At 42.8% G+C, this 20,179-nt stretch overlaps 1 protein-coding gene and 3 pseudogenes across 2 annotated transcripts; 3 read left to right on the top strand and 1 right to left on the bottom strand.

The window, feature by feature from the left end:
• On the top strand, positions 572–963 carry H3P21 (H3 histone pseudogene 21; annotated as a pseudogene).
• On the top strand, positions 5,592–5,997 carry H3P20 (H3 histone pseudogene 20; annotated as a pseudogene).
• On the top strand, positions 11,420–11,750 carry H3P19 (H3 histone pseudogene 19; annotated as a pseudogene).
• On the bottom strand, positions 14,420–16,139 carry TAF11L12 (TATA-box binding protein associated factor 11 like 12). Of its 2 annotated transcripts, NM_001423536.1 has the most exons (2): positions 15,934–16,139; positions 14,420–15,616 (listed from the first exon to the last, which is right to left on the bottom strand). In NM_001423536.1, the coding sequence occupies exon 2, from the start codon at positions 15,539–15,541 to the stop codon at positions 14,948–14,950; it is 594 nt and encodes a 197-aa protein (NP_001410465.1). In that variant the 5' UTR covers positions 15,542–15,616; positions 15,934–16,139; the 3' UTR covers positions 14,420–14,947. The 2 variants fall into 2 exon arrangements, with proteins under 2 accessions (NP_001410465.1, NP_001388615.1); NM_001401686.2 differs by having other exon boundaries at positions 14,420–16,139.
• Positions 16,140–20,179: the final 4,040 nt, after the last annotated feature.

Below are 20,179 nucleotides of genomic sequence, written 5' to 3'. Positions count from 1 at the left end.
ATGTAAATAAAATGTAAACTTTCAGAATCCATTCGGCACCCAAAACGTTAAGTGACAGATCTCATTTACCATCCCTCCCACAATGCACAATCCAGAGGTCTGTACCTCTCTTGGGTGAGGAAGAATGCAGGGACTTAATGGGCTTTCACAGCCCTGATTAGGTTAAGCATCTGCTGAAGCACAGAATGCAGTGAAAAGTAGCTGGGTGGGTCTAATCCAATCATCCAAGCCTCCTATAAATGACTGAATTTGGCTGAGATCACAGAGATCTCCAGCTAGAGCAAGACTGCCTGGGAGAAAGATTCCCCACTGCTGTGTGTAGACCGAGGAATCCCAAGGCTACTCAAGGAGACTCAATACAGGGACCTCAGACCCACTGATCAGTGAGTTGGTAAGTATGGGGCTGGGTTGGAAGGGGCTAAGTGTATGGCAGCATCTTCTGCATAGATCCCAACACACAGACTCTCTGAATCCTGCCCACAGCCTCACCACCATTGCTGTCTGGTACCAGCACTGCTTCCAGTTCACCAGGTTCAGCCCAGTGACAAGGCAGAGGCCACAGCCCTACACCATGGCTCGCATTAGGCAGACTGACCACAAAGCCACCGCCTGGCAGGCCCCCAGGAAGCCCCTGGCCACCAAAGTCACCGGCAAGAGGGTCCTGGCTACACGAGGGATCAAGAAGCCTCACCGCCACAGGCTTGGCACCCTGGCGCTGCACAAAACCAGGAGGTACCAGAAGTCCACACAGCTGCTTCTGCACAAGCTGACCTTCCAGCGCCTGGAGCACGAGATTGCCCAGGCCATCAACCCAGACCTGCGCTTCCAATGTGCGGCCACTGGCGATTTCAGGGAAACAGCGAGGCCTACCTGGTCCCCCTCTTTAAAGACATCAACCTATGTGTTATCCATGCCAGGCGTGTCACAGTTATGCCCAGAGACATGCAGCTGGCCTGCCAACTCGGCAGAGAGGGTGCTGGGGAGCCCACGCTCCTGGGAAACGCTGCACTCTAGACGGCTTCGTTTCCATTTGGTTGTGTTTTTCAACGTCTTTGTGTTAATCATAGTTCTGATATTAGCAGTTCTCTTCATTTTTGGTTTTATGTCCCTCATGGGGTCCAAAAGCAGCCCTGCACATGATTAGGAGTAACAACACAGGCAGATATAAAGGGTATGAGTGTTTCTGTTTTCTTTTGTTTGTAAACTGTCCATCTACATTGAGGGTCTAATACATTCATGTCAACTGGGAATTTCTCACTGAACGCTTTTCAACAGTTCAAATCAAGAACAATTGTGAAAAAATGTGCTCATTAGTATTATTGAAAACCAAATAAATTTCTTATTGGTGGCAAATAGATAATGTCTCCTGCATTTGATCAAACAGCAGATGCGATCCACACTTTGACTTTTCCTATATGCAGCTCCGTGTTCTCAATGTTCCCTGTCTCCTGAGCTATTCCTGTGTGTTTGTTTGCTATGAACATACATTACACTCTACTTTCTAAAATGTGAATAGAGTCTCTATACACAAGTCATTTCACATTATGGGAGGCAAGAACCAGTGTGGGTCTGTTTGTGGGTGGGAAAGGGAGAGAGGCACCTGTGAGAAGTCCGATGCAGTCCATCCCCAGAAGCTCAGCATCTTGCAACGTGGTCATAGCCCTGGCCATGGCTGGAATGATACAGGTCTTGGTTAGGGAAGTGGTAGGAGAGGCCCTGCTTATGTTTGAGATGTGGGGAGACATGCCCCACTGCAGCCCAAGCATTGGAGGGAGACCTTTCTCAGGGGACAGCCCAGTGACCACTTCCCAAACACCTACTACAAAACAAAGTCATCTTCCTCTGGGCCCCAGTCTAGAAAGAAAGGCCTGATCTTAGAGGAAAAAGTACTGGTTCCAGTCTTTCTATGACAGAGCCCTCTGTACGCTGGAGCTTCAGTATCTCAGCCCATCCTGGACTTAACCATGACTTAACATCTTTCTTACATCTTACATTAGTCTCACCCAGATGAAGGCAGCAGCCTGATTAATAATGTCATCCAATCATATTTGTATCTCAGATGGGGCACAATGGCTTATTTCTATGATCAGAGAGCATTTTGGGAGACCGGGGTTGGTGGATCACTTGAACTCAGGAGTTCCAGACCAGCCTGGGCAACATGACAAAACTTCCCCTCTACAATTAAAATGGAAAAAAAAAAAGCTAAATGTGGTGGTTGGTGCCTGCTGTTTCAGCTACTCCAGAGGCTGAGGTAGGAGGATCTCTTGAGCTCCAGAAGTGGAGATTATAGTGAGCCGAGATGGAACCACTGCCCTCCTACCTGGCTGACAGAGTGAGACCCTGGCTCAAGAAAATAACAATCATTATCATCATGTTTGGGTCTCTGAGGTCCATGTATGAGCAGGCATTGTTCTAGGGCTTCCTAGCTGGAAGAACAAAGGTACATGGGCCTTGAGCATCCTTTGGATGTGGAGCTGTCTTCAGAGAGAAGAAAGAAACCCTTTTAAGAGACTATGGTGGTTTCATACCGAATCCTTAAGTGGATATAACAGGATTTTTGCTCATATGTGATTTTAAGGAGACACAACAAAGTCTTCCCTTACAATATTCTATCCTGAAGGTGCTGGGCTTTCTAAGAGTACTGGAGTAGCTGCCCTTGGAAACATTTAGTACTTTTCCATAACTTTTCCTGGGGAATCAAGCACCTCTTTCCCAGCGTGTAAAAATAAAAATGAAATTAAAAAACTATTCTTCTCTAAAATGACTCTTTTTACTTTCCTACCAAGACTGTTTCATGTCGGGGAATGATGTTTGATGATGTCAGAATGGTAACACACTCTGGGATCTACATGGAAAACTAAGAGAAGCACAGACCCCAGATACCCCGTCTCATCTGGGCACTCCTTTCCACACCTTCACCTCCAAGGAATGGCCCCAATGTAAACTAGGTTTATGGCTGAAATAACATGTTTATTTCTGTTTTGTGCTTCTCTAAAACAGAAATACATATGATGACAATACATTTTCATACTAGATAACATTCAATTGTTACTTGATTTTCCAAATTATTCCATAAGAACACAAAAATTAGAAATAAAATTCCCTCTCAGTGTAGGACTTGACCATTAAATATTTTGTGTAATTGAACATTATTTGTAATTATACTGACATGTAATTGATCCAATACCCTGAATATAAGATAAATGGTAACAAATGTATAACCTACTAGAAGAAAACAGGGGATGTCCTCATTGACAATGGTTAACCCAATGATTTTTGGAATATGTCCCAAAATCAGAGACAGCAAGAGGGAAAATACATAAATGGATTGCATCCAAATGAAAAAACAAAAAATCTGCAGAGCCGACAAAACAATCAACACCATGAAGAGACAGAATCATAAAGAGAGAAAATATTTGCAAACCCTACATTCAATAAGGAATTAACTATTTACTGTCCAAAATATACTAGGAACTCTAAGGACTTGAAACCAAGAAACAATACAATTTAAAAACTGGGCAAAGGAACTAAATAATAGACATTTCTGAAGAGAAGCCATGAAAGTGGCCACCAGGTATATATCCATATATACCTTCTGTTACTAGTATATATATATACTCAACATCACTAATCTCCAGAGAAATGCAAATAAAAACTGAAAGAAGATAACACCTTATGTTCATTAGAATGGCTATGATCAAAACATCAAAGGACAAAACTTGTCGACGAGGATGTGGAGGAAAGGGAGCCCTTGCATTCTTCCTCGCCATGTAAATTAGGACAGCCATTATAGAAAACAGTATGGACCTTCCTCCACAAACTAAACAAATACAGCTACCATACGATCCAGCAAGCCCACACTGGGAGGTCTATATCAAAAGGAAATGAAATCGGTCTATTGAAGAGATATCTGCACTCCCACATTGATTGCAGCACTACTTACAAGACCTAAGATAGGGTATCCACCTAAATATCCAAAAGCAGATAACAGGAGGAGGAAAATCTGACATATATACACAAGGGAATACCATACAGCCTTAAAGAAGAAGGAAATCTTGTCATTTGTGACACATGGGTGCACCTGGAGAACATCATGCTAAGTGAAATAAGTCAGGCATAGGTAGGAACACAAATACCACATAATCTCAATGCTATGTAGAATGTCACAAAGGTAGTCTGATGGATGTAAAAGAGAAGAAAAGTGGTTGTTTGGTGCTGTGGTGACAGGCGGTGGGGAATTTGAGAAGACATTGGTCAAAATACACATTTCAGTTACATAGGGGGAATAAGTTCAAGGATTATTGTATAGCATGATGACTATAGTTAACAATAGATCGTATTTTTGAAAAATCTCATTAACATGGATGTGCAGTGTTCTCACCACAGTAATATATATGTGAGGTAATGAATGTCAACTACCTAGATTTAGATATTAGACAATGTGTACATACTTTAAAACAGCATTTTGTACATAAGAAATATATACAACAAGATGTGTCCACACTTTAAATATGAATACACAAGTCAATAGTTGAGTGGTTGCAAGGGACCGAGAGTGAAGGAGAGAAGTGGGGAGACTGGACAGAGTACGATTGCATGGAAGTGAAACTAGTCCATAGAATACAATAATGGTGGATACATGCAATTATGCCTTTGCTTGAATCCATGGAATATACAACACTCAAGTGAATCCTAAGGAGAGCGATGGAGTTGGAGTCACAGTGATGTGTCCATGTAGGTTGAAAGGTTGTAGACAACGTACCACTCTGGGGCAGAAAGTTCATAGTGAAGGGGGCTATGCATATGTGTGGTGAGAGGATATTGGGGACCTATGTTCCTTCTGCCCAATTTTGGCAAGAACCTAAAGGTTTGTTACAAAATGAGCTCTATTTTTAAAGAGAAATGTGAACTTATTTTGTGAGTATTGATTTTCCTGGAAATTCCTGTTCTGTGTGTGGTATATGCATTGCATGCATGGGCATTAAATTTATACTATAAGTTGTCAGAGAAGCCTGTGCACCGTGTATTGAAATAGGAGCCTTTGGTTGGTGTGTTGTTTATTTGTTTGTTTCTTTTCTTTACTCTGCTTTGCTTTTACTCATGAAGCCAATAGTATGAAGGTAGCTGCTGAGTCCTCGGTTCAGCAGCTCAGTGAACTCAGGGCTGGCTTCGCGGGGCTTCATGGCATTTCCAAAGCAGGCAATGGAAAGAAGGCTCACCCCCTCCATCAAGGTAAAAAAAGACCCAGGGAGGGCTTCAGTGACAGGCACATATGACCATTAGAACAAAAAGCCTCAGCTTCCCGCGAAGGCTACGCGCAGATTTCCATGAATGTCACTTTGGGAGAGAAAAATGCTCCCAGAGCATCCCTGGTAGAGGAGTGACCATTTCGGTTTGCATCTTCTCCTGCTGGTAAGTCTGGGGTGGGTTGGAAGGGGCTCAGTGTGTGGGAGCATCTTGTACATGGATTTCAACTCACGGGCTCTCTGAATCCTGTCCACAGCCCCAGTGCCCTTGCTCTCTGACTCCAGCGCCGCCTGCAGTGGGCCAGGCTCAGCCCAAGGAGAGGGGAGAGGCTACTGCCCGCCCCCATGGGGCCCATCAAACAGACCGCCTGCAAAGCCACCACCTGGCAGGCTCCCAGGAAGCCCCGGACCACAAAAGCCGTCCGCAAAAGGGCGCCCTCTAGAGGATGGATCAAGAAGTCTCACAGCTGCAGACCTGGCCCCATGGCGCTGAGTGAAATCAGAAGTACCACAAGTCCACTCAGCTGCTCCAGCACAAGCTAACCTTCCAGCGCCTGGTGCGCGAGATCCCCCGGACCATCAGCCGGGACCTGGGCTTCCAGAGCGTGGCCGTTGGTGCTTTCAGGGGACCAATGAGGCCTACCTGGTGCGCCTCTTTGAAGACACCAACCTGTATGTCATCCATGCCAGAAGCGTCCCAATTATGCCAAGAGACGTGCAGCTGGCCCACAGCCTCCGTGGAGAGGGTGCTGAAGAGCCCTCCTGGGAAATCTTGCATTGTAAATGGTTTCCTTTGCGTCCTGTTGTGTTTTTCCTCTTCTCTCTGTTAATGATAGATATGATGTTAGAAGTTGTGTTCAGTATCAGTATCATTTCCTGCACGGGGTCTAAAAGTAGCTAAGCATACGATTGAGAACAGAAACCGAAGCAAAAATCACAGGTAGAGACTGTTTTTCTATTTTCTTTTAATTGTAAATTTTCAATCTACATTGAGGAGTTAATGCATTCATGTCAAGTGGAAATGTCTGAGTGAACACGTTTCACTAGTTCAAATCAAGAACAATTCTGAAAAAACTGGTTCCTTAATTTTATTAAAAACCAAAGAAACTTATAGGCGTCAAACCGATAATGTCTCCTGTGATTGATCAAACAGTAGAGGAGATCCACACTTTGGCTTTCTCCATATACAGTTCCATGTTTGCAATGTTCCCTGTCACCTTGGCTGTTCCTCCTAGTTTGCTATGAACATACATTGATCTCTACTTTCTACAATATGAATAGATTCTGTATGAATAGACTCTGTATCCATAAGTCACTTCACATTAGGGTTGGCAGAATTACCAGTGTGGGCGTGTTTGTGGTGGGAAAGGGAGAGAGGCACCCTGTAGAAGTCTGATGCATTCCGTCAGGTGCAGGTCAGTGTCCTAGAACCAGGTTACTGCCATGCACATGGCTGTAATGACCCAGAACTTTGTCGGGGAGGTGGTAGGAGAAGCCCTGGCCATGTGTGAGATGTGGGAAAATGCCCCCTGTGACACCCAAGCACTGGAAAAAGGCCTTTCACATGGGACAACCCAGGTCCTGCTTCCCCAACATCCAGTACCAAAATAAACTAAAAAAATCATCTTCCTCTGGGAAGATATTGGTCTCACCCAGATGAAGGCAGCAGCCAGTTTCATAATCCCTTTCAATCATGTTTATATCTCAGACCAGGCACAATGACTCATTTCTGTAAAACCAACATTTTGGGTGGCCAAGGGCGGCAGATCGATTGAGCTCAGAAGTTCCTGTCCAGGCCAGGAATGTTGGCAAAACCTCCTCTCCAAAAAAAAAAAAAAAAAATTAGCTGGGTGCGGTTGCTGGTGTCTATGGTTTCACCTACTTGGAGGCTGAGGTAGAAGGACTGATTGAGCTGTGGAGGTGGAAGTTAAAGGGAGCCAAATTGACATCACTGCCCTTCCACCTGGCCAACAGAGTAAGACTCTGTCTCAAAAAACTAACAATCATTGTCATTATATTTGGTTCTCTGAGGTCCATGCATGAGTGGGTGCTTTTCTGGGTCTTCCTAGTTGGAGGAAGAAAGGAGCATGGGCCTTGGGCATCCTGTGGACGGGGAGCTGTTTTCAGAGAGAAAAAAGACATCCTTTTAAGAGACTATGGTGGATTCACACTGAATCCTGAAGTTGCTATGACTTTGGATGTTTTTGCTCAAATGTGATTTTAAGGAGATAAAACAAACAGTAAGTCTTCCCTTACAATACTCTATCCAGAAGGTCCCGGGCTTTCTAAGAGCACTGGAATAGTTACCTTGTAAACATTTAATACTTTTCCATAACTTTTCCTGGGAAATCAACCAACTGTTTTTCAGCTTGCAAAAATAAAAATGAAATTAAAAATTAGTTTTTCCTCTAAAATGGGTTTTTTCACATTCGGACCAAGATTGTTTTATGTCATGGAGTGATCTTTCATGATGTTAGGAGGGTAGAACACTGTAGGAGCTGCATGAAAAACTACACAGAGAAACACAAACCCCAGAGACCCTGTCAAATATCTTCATTCATTTCCACACATTCGCCTCCAAAGAGCTGGTCCCAATGTAACCTATATTAATGGCTGAAAGAACATATTGATGTGTGTTTCATGCATGTCTAAAACAGAAATGCATACAATAACAATATATCCTTATACTACATGATGTTTTATTTTTAGTTTATTTTGCAGATTACTGTATTAAAAATATAATGTCCTCTCACTGTAGGATTTGAGCATTAAATATTTTGTGTAATTGAAGCCTATTTGTAATTGTACTGACATGTAATTGCCAAATACCATATATATAAGATAAATGATAATAAATATATAGCAAAAATAAAATGGAGTTCCAGTTTTTGGGGTGACTCCTAAGAAAATTCAATGTCATCACTCTATCTTCACAATGAGAAAAAAACTGAAAAAGCAAAGAATCAGTATCTCCTTGGAAATCTCTCTGAGTGATGATGTCAGTGGCAAATACAAAGAGAAAACAAAAAGATTTCATGGTTTTCTATCTTCAAAGTATGCTATCAATCTGTAGGAACCAAAATGGCATAACACTGGCATAAAAACAGACACTTAAGCTACCGGATCAGAGCAGAGAGTCTAGAAATCAGTCCATCCATATACAGCCAACTGATAGTTTAAAAGGGTGCCAACAACTCACCACCACAAAACCACAGTTTCTTCCATCAATGGCGATAGGGAAACCTGGTAGCCACATGAAGAAAAATGAAATTGGACCCCTATATCTTACTGTACACAAGAATAAATCCAAATAAATTAAAAACTAGAAAGTATAAACCAACTAGAAGAAAACAGGGGACATCCTCATTGACTCTGGTTAAGCCAAAAACTTTTGGTATATGACCCAAAAGCACAGACAACAAAAGGGTGAATAGACAGATGGATTGCATCCAACTTAAAAAAAAAAAATCTGCAAAGCCGACAAGACAATAAACATCATGAAGAGACAAAATCAAAATGAGAGAAAATATTTGCAAACACTACATCATATAAGGGATTAATTACTGTCCAAAATACTCTAGGAACTCAAATGACTCAATAGCAAGAAAAAACACAATTTAAAAACCGGGCAAAGGACCTAAATGACATACCTTTCTGAAAAGAAGACATACAGTGGCCAACTGGTATGTATATACGTATATATGCTCAACATCGCTAATCATCAGAGAAATGTAAGTTAAAACTGAAAGAAGATACCACCTCACACTCATTAGGATGTCTATGATCAAAAAGTCAAAAGACAACACTTGTTGATGAGGATGTGGAGGAAAGGGAACCCTTGCACTATTCATGGGAACGTAAATTAGGACAGCCATTATAGAAAGCAGGATGGACATTCCTCCAAAAATGGAAAGAATAGAGCTACCATATGATCCAGCAATCCCACACTGCCAGGTATATACCAAAAGGAAATTAAATCAGTATTGAAGAGATATCTGCACTCCCATGTTAAGTCACAATAGCTAAGATATGGAATTCACCTAAATGTCCAAAACTGGATGACAGGATGGGGTAAATCTGATATACATGCACAATGGAATACTATGCAGTCTTAAAGAAGGACATCTTGTCATTTGTGACACATGGGTGCACCTGGAGAACATCATGCTACGTGAAATAAGCCAGGTGTAGGAAGACAAATACCACGTCATCTCAATGATATGTGGAATCTCACAAAGTTAATCTAATAGATGTCAAAAAGAAGAATTCTGGTTGTCAGGGGCTGGGTGGCTGTGGGTGAAGGATTGAGAAGACGTTTGTCAAAATACACAGCATTTCAGTTATATAGGGAGAATAAGCTCAAGGACTATATTACAACACGGTGACTATAATTTAACAATAGATCATATTCTTGAGAAGTGCTATTAGCCTGGATGTGAAATGTTCTCACCACAATAATACGTATGTCAGGTAATGGCTGTCAGTTACCTAATTTAGATATTAGACAATGTGTTCATACTTTATAACAGCATTATGTACATAAGAAATATATACAATGAGATGTGTGTATTTTAAATAAAAAGAAATAAATCAATAGTTGAGTGGTTGCAAGAGACCGAGGGTCAAGGGGGAGTGCAGAGATGGGACACAGTGCATTTGTACAGAAGTGAAACTAGTCCACAGAATGCAATAACGGTGGATACATGTAATTACACCTTTGCTCGAGTCCATAGAATGTACAACACCCAAGTAAGTCCCTAAGGAGAGCTATGGTCTTGGAGTCAGAGTGATGTGTCCATGCAGGTTGAATGACTGTAGCCAACATACTACTCTGGAGCAGAAAGTTGATAGTCAAGGGGGCTATGCATATGTGGGGAAAGGGGATAAGGGAAACCTCTGCTCCTTCTGCCTGATTTTGCTGTGAACTTAAGGTTTTCTACAAAAGTAGCTCTCCTTTTAAAACTTTTTTTAAAATGTGAACTTATTTTGTGAGTATTGATTATCATGGGATTTCCTGTTCTGGGCATGGTCTGTGCATTGCATAGAAGGGCATTCAATTTCTACTACAAGTATCAGAGAAGCCTGTTAATAGTGTATCAAAATAGGGGCCTTTTGTATGTGTATTGTTTGATTGTTTGTTTGTTTTTGTTTGCTTTACTTGTTCTCATGGAGCCAGAAGTATGAAGGTAGCAGCTGTGACCTGGGTTCAGCAGTGCAGTGAACTCAGGGCCTTCACTGGGCCTCATGCCATTTCCAAAATGGGCAATGGAAACAAGGCTCAGCCCTGGCGTCAAGGTAAAAAAAGGAGCCAGGATGCCTCAGTGACAGGCATATATGACCGTTTGATCAAAAAGTCTCAGCTTCCCCCAAAGGCTACCCCCAAATTTCCACGAATATCACTTTGTGGGAGAAAACCTGTCCCCCGGAGCATCCCTAATAGAAGAGTGACCTTTTTGATTTTCCATCCATCCCTCCCGGTTTCAACTCATCCTCAGAGAACCTGAGAGACACCTCACGATGGCACCCTTGGTGTTTTGCGGCAGTCACGGAAGTCATCTAATGTGCAACTGTATTGAAATGTCTTTTTCATTGTAACTTCCATGATGATCGTGAAATGTAAACTTTTGGGATCTCTTTGGCACCTAGATTCTAGCTAACTCTCACCTATCATCTCTCCCATGAGGCACAGTCCAGAGGTTCAGCCCTTCCAGGGCTGCATGCAGAACCCAGGACTTGATTGTGTTTTCACAACCCTGATGAGGTTGAGGGTCTGGCGAAGCAGTGAGAGCAATGGAAGGTAGCTGCGTGGGTCTAATGCAATCATCTGAGCCCCTTATAATAGGCTGGACTTGGCTGAGACTACACAGATGTCCAGCCAGAGCCAGGCTGCCTCGGGGGAGGGAGATTTACCACAGCTGATGTGTAGACCAAGGAAGCCCAGGACCCCCGGGAGACCGAGCAGCAGGACCTCTGACCCACACACTTGCGAGCTGGTAAGTCTGGGGCTGGTTTGGAAGGGGTTAAGTGTCTGAAGAGTCTTTTGCATGAATCTCAACTCCCAGACTCTCTGATTTTTGTCCACAGCCCCACCATCATTGCAGTCTGAAACCAGCGCTGCCTCCAGTTAACCTGGCTCAGCCCAAGGACAGGAGAGAGACCACAGCCCCAGGTCACTGCATGCACCAAGCCAACAGCCAGCAAAGCCACCGCCTGGCAGGCACCACAAAGACCCTGGCCACTAAAGCCGCCAGCAAAAGGGCGCGGCCTACAGGAGGGATCAAGAAGCCTCACCGCTACAGGCCTGACAATGCGCGAAATCAGAAAGTACCAGAAGTCCATGCAGCTGTTACTCCTCAAGCTGCCCTTCCAGCGCCTGGTGCGCAAGATCTCCCAGGCCATCATCCTCGTCCTGCGCTTCCAAGCGCTACCATTGGCGACCTGCAGGAGCCCAGTGAGGCTTACCTGTTGCACCTCTTTGAAGACACCTAGCTCTGTGCCATCCATAAAAGCCCTGGCCTCTTCTCCCCTATATATGTATATTAGTGCTCTGCTTTGTACCTTCTTCCATAGGAAACAAAAATCCATCAGTTGATCATTTAAGCCTTTCTAGTTTGGGTACAAATTTTAGTGTAGTTGTACTTGTAAGCTTTGTACTTTATACTTCTAAAGATTAGACCCTAGATAATATGTGCTTGGAATAGTGGAGCTAGCTTACTTAAACTTTATTTAGGCATTTTGTGGGGGCAAAGGTAGGCAGTGAGGATGTTAAGCTTATCCCAAAATAGAAAATGATAGAAAATAGTCAAGTACAGTCACTTTATTTGTTAGGTATCTTGTCACCACTTTACCAGCACCAATCAGAGACCACATTTTTCTATGCAGTCTCCAAATGCACATTATGAGATAGACTTTAAGAATAGTGATGAAGCTCCAGGAAAAAATTCATTGTCATTAACATGTAATACAATCAGCCATGAAAGCTGTCAAAGATTTCTCCTGGAAAGGTACCACTTTCTACAGATTTCTTTCCTGAGAGCAGTGACTATATGATACTATATATTGAGAACATTTAGTATGTGATTATTAAAAAGTCAGAAAACAACAGATGTTGGCAAGGCTGTGGAGATATAGAAACACTTTTACAATGTCTGTGAGAGTGTAAATTAGTTCAACCATTGTGGAAGACAGTGTGGTGATTCCTCAAGGATCTAGAACCAGAAATACCATTGGACCCAGCCATCTCATTACTGTGTATATACCCAAAGGATTATAAATCATTCTACTATAAAGACACATACACATGATACATTGCAGCACAGTTTACAATAGCAAAGACTTGGAACCAACCCAAATGCCCATCAATGATAGACTGGATAATGACCATGTGGCATATATACACCAGGGAATACTATTCAGCCATAAAAAAGAATGAGTTCGTGTTCTTTGCGGTGACATGGATGACACTGGAAACCATCATTCTCAGCAAACTAATACAGGAACAGAAAATCAAACACCATATGTTCTCACTCATAAGTGGGAGTTGATCAATGAGAACACATGGACACAGAAAGGGGAACATCACACAACGTGGCCTGTCAAGGGGTAGGAGGCAAGGGAAAGGAGAGCATTAGGAAAAATCCCAATGCATGCGGAGCTTAAAGCCTAGATGATGGGTTGATTGGTGCAGCAAACCACTAGGGAACATGTAAAGCTTTGTTACAAACCTGCACATTCTGCACATGTATCCCATAACATAAAGTAAAAAAGAAAAAAAAGAATCTGTAAGGACGCTGAACCTTCTCAGCTAATCCAATTTTCCTCTCTGAGAAAACAACACTGTGTTCCTGCTCCTGACCTGACCTCTGAGACCTTGATGGGAACTTGTTTCTGTCTTCAGCAGTTCAGCTTTACTCAGACCCCATTCAAAATATTGAGTTCCATGAGAGGCCAGAGAAATGTTATAGGCTTGTGTGTGGAATCACCATAGCACTACTCTCTACAGATGCTTCTCTCCACCTCAGGCTGCTTGGGCCAGGTTCTCTTTTCCTCTACTGTTCAGAAAGTGCTAGACCTGTAACATCTGACAAAATACAGCTTCCATGACTCCTCAGTGCCATGGAAAAGGAATGAGCTGAGAGCAATCTAAAGACTGGGAGATATTAAGTCTCTTGGATCTTACTTGTTTTGGTTGCTCCAGCACTTTAATTCCTGAGAGAGCCCTCCCATCTCCATCAGTTCTTCCAAGAACCTGTACCCTCCTTGTGTCTCTCAGACGCAATGGTCTAACTTGTTAGATGCCTTTACAAGAAAGTTGGTGAAATAAAAGGAAAGCTAAACCATGTCAGAATATGGAGGTATGACACAGAATTTCCCCATACTTGGTAAAGTTTAGAAATTTGTGTGATACCCAAAGGCAGATTCTATGTACAATAAGTCCTATTTTCAGAGCAAAAGATGAGTGTATGAGGAAATAAAACTATATTTTATGGGGGTATCTTTGGCTTCAGGAAGAAAGAGTAAATATTATTCTCCATTCAATATTAGAGCTGAACTATGGGGTCTTTTTGATACTTTTTGCTTACACTCTGTGATTCAGGGGACACATGGCAAAGGTAAACAGACAGAAACAGCACCGTGGATATTGGTGAGCTGTGCTTGGAAGGGTCACAGTGATTCTATAATAACTCTCAGGTCTTTATTCTATAATGAAAAATTACTCTTTTCCATCATAAAGGTAAAGCAGAGTATGTACAAGTAGAGTGTGAAATAACTTTGTCACTCATGATGAACCTACTTGGTCCAATACTTTAACGACTTCTCCAATGTCTCTGTACTCAGGTTTGATTTCCTGAGTGGCTCATTGGTAGAATGAATAAAATCAAGACTCCTCTAAAGGAATGTTTGGAACTAAATTTCAGTGTCTCCGGAAGCACTGGTAAAATAACCATGTGTAGCGAACGTGCAGTATCAATTGGCTCTGTCTGTGTCTTTGGAACTGCCCATATGATCATTACAAATGGAGGCTTGAGGAAAGGTGGTTTTGGAATTGGTTTCTCTCTAGTCTTACACGATGCACCAATACTGTATTGCATTATGATTAAACTACAGGGCCACTTGCTGACGTAAGCAAAGTAGGCAGGAATGGAAGAGTCAACATGGAGAAAAAAAAATTCTTTGTGATTATATTTTTATTTCTGCAGTTTGGAAAACAGTTTAACTGCTTTTGTGATGACTAAAACAAATACATATGAGCATTGAAAATCAGAGGAGGACAACAATTGGGAAACATTTCTGGAGGCTTCGCTTACTGAAACCCAGACATCAGCATACAAGGTAAGACACAGCAACACCAGGCTTCAGAATGAAACCGTACAAATCTCCTGGAAAGGGTTTCCCTCTCCAAATGCAGCTACCTGTCCACAGGATGCTCAAGGCCCAGGCACCTTTATTCTTCCAACTAGAAAGACAGAGAAAAATGCCTCAATATGCCCCTGGAGTCCCAAACATTTAGCCAAGGCTACTGTGAAACAATCTGCTGTCTTCACCTAGGTAAGGTCAACTTCACAGTTTCAGACACTAAGATTGTGGGTGAATCCAGGGTGGACTGAGATAAGGAAGCTCCAGCAAATGCAGTCCTGTCATTGGAAGATGAATGCGATACTTATTCCTGCACAAACAGACCCTTCCCTCTGGCCTTGGGCTTAGAACATGATTTTTTTATAGTTGCTGTTGGGGAAGAGGCCCTTGGGCTTTAACCTGCGAACGGCCTCCCTTAAATGCTTGGGCTGCAGCGGGGGCGTTTCTCCCCACATCTCGCACACGTCCAGGGCCTCTTCCACCACCTCTCCAACCAAGACCTTAGCTATTCCAGCCATGGCAATGGCGGTGTTCTCAGACACCGATCTGCCAGTGATAGACTGCATCAGAGCTGCAATGCGTGCTTTTGGGAAAGCTGACCGGCGACACACTTCGTAGCGGGATAGCTGCTCCTCAGACATGGCATACAGCAGGGTTGTCATCTGAGCCTCCTCTGCATCCACGGTGGGCTTCCTCTCCTTCTTCCCCTTGGTATCTGTTTTCTGTCTTTTGGCTGCAGGAGGAGCTGAGGCTGATGCTTCATTGTCACCTTCTGTGAGGTCCATGACATCCTGACTTCTGAGCTCACTTTCCTGATCCCTGGGTTCTTCCAAGTTCCCATCTAGGTCCTCAGGGATTCCATCCTTGTTGCTGCCCTTCAGACCTTGGGGCATGGCGAACATCTCAGCAGACGCACCTCTTTGCCTGCCTGTCTCCATGGGTGAGATTCAAGTCTGCTCCGTGACAGCAGCTGTACAGGCAGAAGTTCTGGCTGGGGTGGTTCGATTATGGATCTGCAATGAGAACCTTTCAAAGAGTTGAGCTGCTGTGTTTCTGCTGTGCCAGTTTAACCATAACTGGACACAGCCCCCTGCCTCCCCTTCCCACATGCAAACACACACACTGAATGTTCTCACTTCCACAATGTGAAGAAACTTGTGGATGGAGAGTATATTAGTTTTAGATCAATGCAGAATAAATTCTCACCAATTTTGGATATTTAAAACAAACACCAGCTCACAGGTCAGAAGTACTGCTAGGCCAAGTGACTGCCTCCTGCTCAGAGTCACATGACGGACCTCCAGGATGGGTCTGGCTGTGTGGTCATTACCTTCACGTGAGAAGGGTCTGTCTTCAATCTCATTCGTGTTGGTGGCAGAATTCAATGCCTTAGGGTTGTGAGCCCCAGGCCCACTTGTTTGTTCTGCCTGCTGCTGTGAGGATGCTCTCAGCTCCTACAAGTGTTGCCCAGGTCTGGGCTGTGAGGCTCCCTAGGTCTGCACAGCCAGTGCTGGGGAATCTCCCATGGGGGAATGTAATCTCAGGGAGGTTCAGTCCTCCCTTATAAAGAGCTCAGATGATTGAATTAGACCCAGCCCTTAGCAGCTATTGGTTCAGGATATCCCTAATCTAATCAGGGATTTGGGCGGGCTCATCAATTCGTGGTTCTGCCCACACCCAAGGGAGGGGCAGACACAGGGTGAGTCTCTGAGGGGTGGGAAATGCAGGGGGCATTTCAGAATTCAGTCTTCCTCACAGAATTGCAAAGTTCACATTTCACAACAATAAAGAAACTATTTACAGTAAAAATGAGATATTTTATGAAGTTGCACATTAGAAAACTTCAGTGTCTGAGAAAAACGTCTCTAACTCACAGGGAAACAAGTGTTTTATCAAATACTCTGAAAATAAAATGGGCTGCATGAGGGGAATATGAAAATATTATTTCAATTTTATTTTATCTTCTTTTATTTTATTGATTTATTTTTGAGACGGAGTCTCACTCTGTCCCCCAGGCTGGGTTACAGTGGCCTGATCTCAGCTCACTGCAGCCTCCACATCCTGGGCTCAAGGGATTCTCCTGCCGCATCCTCCAGAGTAGCTGGGACTAAATGTACGCGCCACCACGCCAGGCAAATTTTTGTCTTTTTTAAAGTAGAGAGGAGGTTTCACCATTTTGGCCAGGCTGGTCTTCAACTGCTGACTTCAGGTGATCTGCCCCATCTTGGCTTCCCAAAGTGAAGGGACTATAGGCGTGAGCGACTGTGCCCAGACTATGATAGTTTCACACTGAAGCCTGAAGCTGCTCTGCCTTAGGATTTTTCCTGAGTTTTACTTTCTTGTCATGATGAGTTGCTAGTTCATATTTTCTGTTGGATCTTTTAGAAAGGCATTACTGATGAGATTATGGCTTTATCACAAAAAATACTACTTTGGTGAAACTCTATTGAAATTAACAGTACCTTAAGTTTCCAATACTTATCAAGTACAATATTTGAACATGGCATGGTAGGTGAACGTGTAAGAAGCAGAATTTGGCAAACTCCATTTTTTTCCATTTTGACGGTTTCAGGTTTTTTGGTTTCAGCCAAACTAAAGAATGTCCTAATGAGCTGTCAATTCACAGAACACTACAGACAATTTTTGAAACTAAATCATAGTTTAATTTTTGGAGTATGATTCTAAAGAAATTTGAATAATCTGGTGGTATGTCTAACACAAAACATGGTTGTTCAGCTCTTTCATCTTTAAAAACAAACAAAAACAGGATGTGGAATTCTCACATTTTGCCAAACAGCAGTATGCTCCCTTGAATATGTGACTAAGAAAACTAAGTCATTGGAAAATAAATAAATAAAGGAAAAACCTCCTCTGTCTCAATAATAGTTTCATTGAGAAAAATGTATTTTTTAAAAACTGCTGGCTATGTCTTGATATTTTTAGACATGGCAATAAGTTGAAATGTCATGAATCGTCTCTCTAACATTCATGCTACTTAAGAAACTCTTCCCAAGATTGGACTGCATTCATTTCATAAAAGCCCTGACCTCCTCTCCCCTATATACATATATTAGCACTCTGCTTTGTACCCTCTTCCGTAGGAAACACAAATCCATCAATTGATCATTTAAGCCTTTCCAGTTTGGGTACAACTTTTTGTATAGATGTAAGATTTGCACTTTATACTTCTAAAGACTAGACCCAGATAATATGTGCTTGGGAATAGTGGAGCTAGCTTGCTTAAACTTTATTTAGACATATGCTAATTACTTGTGGGGGGCAAAGGCAGGCAGTGAGGATGTTAAGCTTTTCCCAAAATAGTCAGTTTTGGAAAATAGTCAAGTACGGGCCGGGCGCGGTGGCCCACGCCTGTAATCCCAGCACTTTGGGAGGCCGAGGCACCCAGTCTCGAGGGCAGGAGATCGAGACCATCATGATTAACACGGTGAAACCCGGTCTCTGCTAAAAATACAAACATTAGCTGGGTGTGGTGGCAGGCGCTTCTATTCCCAGATACTCAGGAGACCGAGGCAGGAGAATAGCATGATCCTGGGAGGCGGAGCTTGCAGTGAGCAGAGATTGCGCCACTACATTTCAGACTGGGCAACGGAGTGAGACTCTGTTTCTTTCGTAGGTATCTTGTCACCACTTAAGGAGCACCAATCAGAGACCACATTTTTCTAGGCAGTCTCCAAATGTACATTATGAATAGTAATGTACTTTAAGAATAGTGATGAAGCTCCAGGAAAAATTGCATTGTCATTAACATGTAATACAATCAGCCATGAATGCTGTCAAAGATTTCTCCTGAAAAGATATCACTTTCTACAGATTTCTTTCCTGAGAGCTGTGGCTATATGATATTATATATTGAGAAGATTTAGTATGTGATTATTAAAAGGTCAGGAAACAACAGATGCTGGCAAGGCTGTGGAGATATAGAAACACTTTTACAATGTCTGTGAGAGTGTAAATTAGTTCAACCATTGTGGAAGACAGTGTGGCGATTCCTCAAGGATATAGAACCAGAAATACCGTTGGACCCAGCAATTTCATTACTGGGTATATACCCAAAGGATTATACATCATTCTACTATAAAGACACATATACATGTAAGTTTACTGCAGCACAGTTTACAATAGCAAAGACTTGGAACCAACCCAAATGCCCATCAATGATAGACTGGATAAAGAACATGTGGCATATATACAGCATGGAATACTATGCAGCCATAAAAAAGAATGAACTCCTGTTTTTGCGGTGACTTGGATAACACTGAAAACCATCATTCTCAGCAAACTAACACAGGAACAGAAAACCAAACACCCTATGTTCTCACTCACACGTGGGAGCTGATCAATGAGAACACACCGACACAGAGAGGGGAACATCACACAGCATGGCCTGTCAGGTGATGGGAGGCAAGGGAAGGGAGAGCATCAGGACAAATATGCAATGCACGCAGGGCTTAAAGCCTCCATGATGGGTTGATAGGTGCAGCAAACCACTAGGGCACATGTATACCTTTGTAACAAACCTGCACATTCTGCACATGGATCCCAAAACTGAAAGTTAAAAAGAAAAGAATGTGTAAGGACACTGAACCTTCTCAGCTAATCCAATTTTCCTCTCTGAGAAAACAATGCTGTGTTCCTGCTCCTGAGCTGACCTCTGAGACCTTGATGGGAACTTGTTTCTGTCTTCAGCAGTTCAGCTTTACTCAGACCCCACTCAGAGTATTGAGTTCTATGAGGGGCCAGAAAAATGTTGTGATGTTCTAATTAGAACATTAAAATATTCTAAGCTTTTGTGTGGAATCACCATCAGCACTGCTCTCTACAGATGCTTGCCTCCACCTCGGCAGACCAACCTGCTTGGGCCAAGTTCTCTTTGCCTCTACTGTTCAGAAAGGGCTAGACCTGCAACATCTGACACAAGACACCTTCCATGACTCCTCAGTGCCATGGAAAAGGAATGAGCTGAGAGCAATCTAAAGACTGGGAGATATTAAGTCTCTTGGATCTTATTTCTTTTGGTTACTCCAGCACTTTAATTCCTGAGAGAGCCCTCCCATCTCCATCAGTTCTTCCAAGAACCTGTACCCTCCTTGTGTCTCTAAGACACAATGGTCTAACTTGATATATGCCTTTACAAGAAAGTTGGTGAAATAAAAGGAAAGCTAAACCATGTCAGAATATGGAGGTATGAAACAGAATTTCCCCATACTTGGTAAAGTTTAGAAATTTGTGTGATACCCAAAGGCAGATTCTATGTACACTCAGTCCTATTTTCAGAGCAAAAGCTGAGTGTATGAGGAAATAAAACTATATTTTATGGGGGTATCTTTGGCTTCAGGAAGAAAGAGTACATGTTACTCTGCATTCAATATTAGAGTTGAACTATGGGGTCGTTTCGATCCTTTTTGCTTACACTCTGTGATTCAGGGGGCACATGGCAAAGGTAAACAGACTGAAACAGCACCATGGATATCTCTGAGCTGTGCTGGGAAGGCTCACGGTGATTCCATAATAAATCTCAGGTCTTTATTATATAAAGAAAAATTACTCTTTACATC

The sequence above is a fragment of the Homo sapiens genome, chromosome 5 (genome assembly GCF_000001405.40).
Source record: "Homo sapiens chromosome 5, GRCh38.p14 Primary Assembly".
NCBI classification, from domain to species: domain Eukaryota; kingdom Metazoa; phylum Chordata; class Mammalia; order Primates; family Hominidae; genus Homo; species Homo sapiens.
This window is presented reverse-complemented; position numbering and strand designations above follow the sequence as displayed.

Excerpts from the sequence above, each read along its gene's own strand:
- TAF11L12 (NM_001401686.2), bottom strand. The coding sequence starts at position 15,541 with ATGGAGACAGGCAGGCAAAGAGGTGCGTCTGCTGAGATGTTCGCCATG.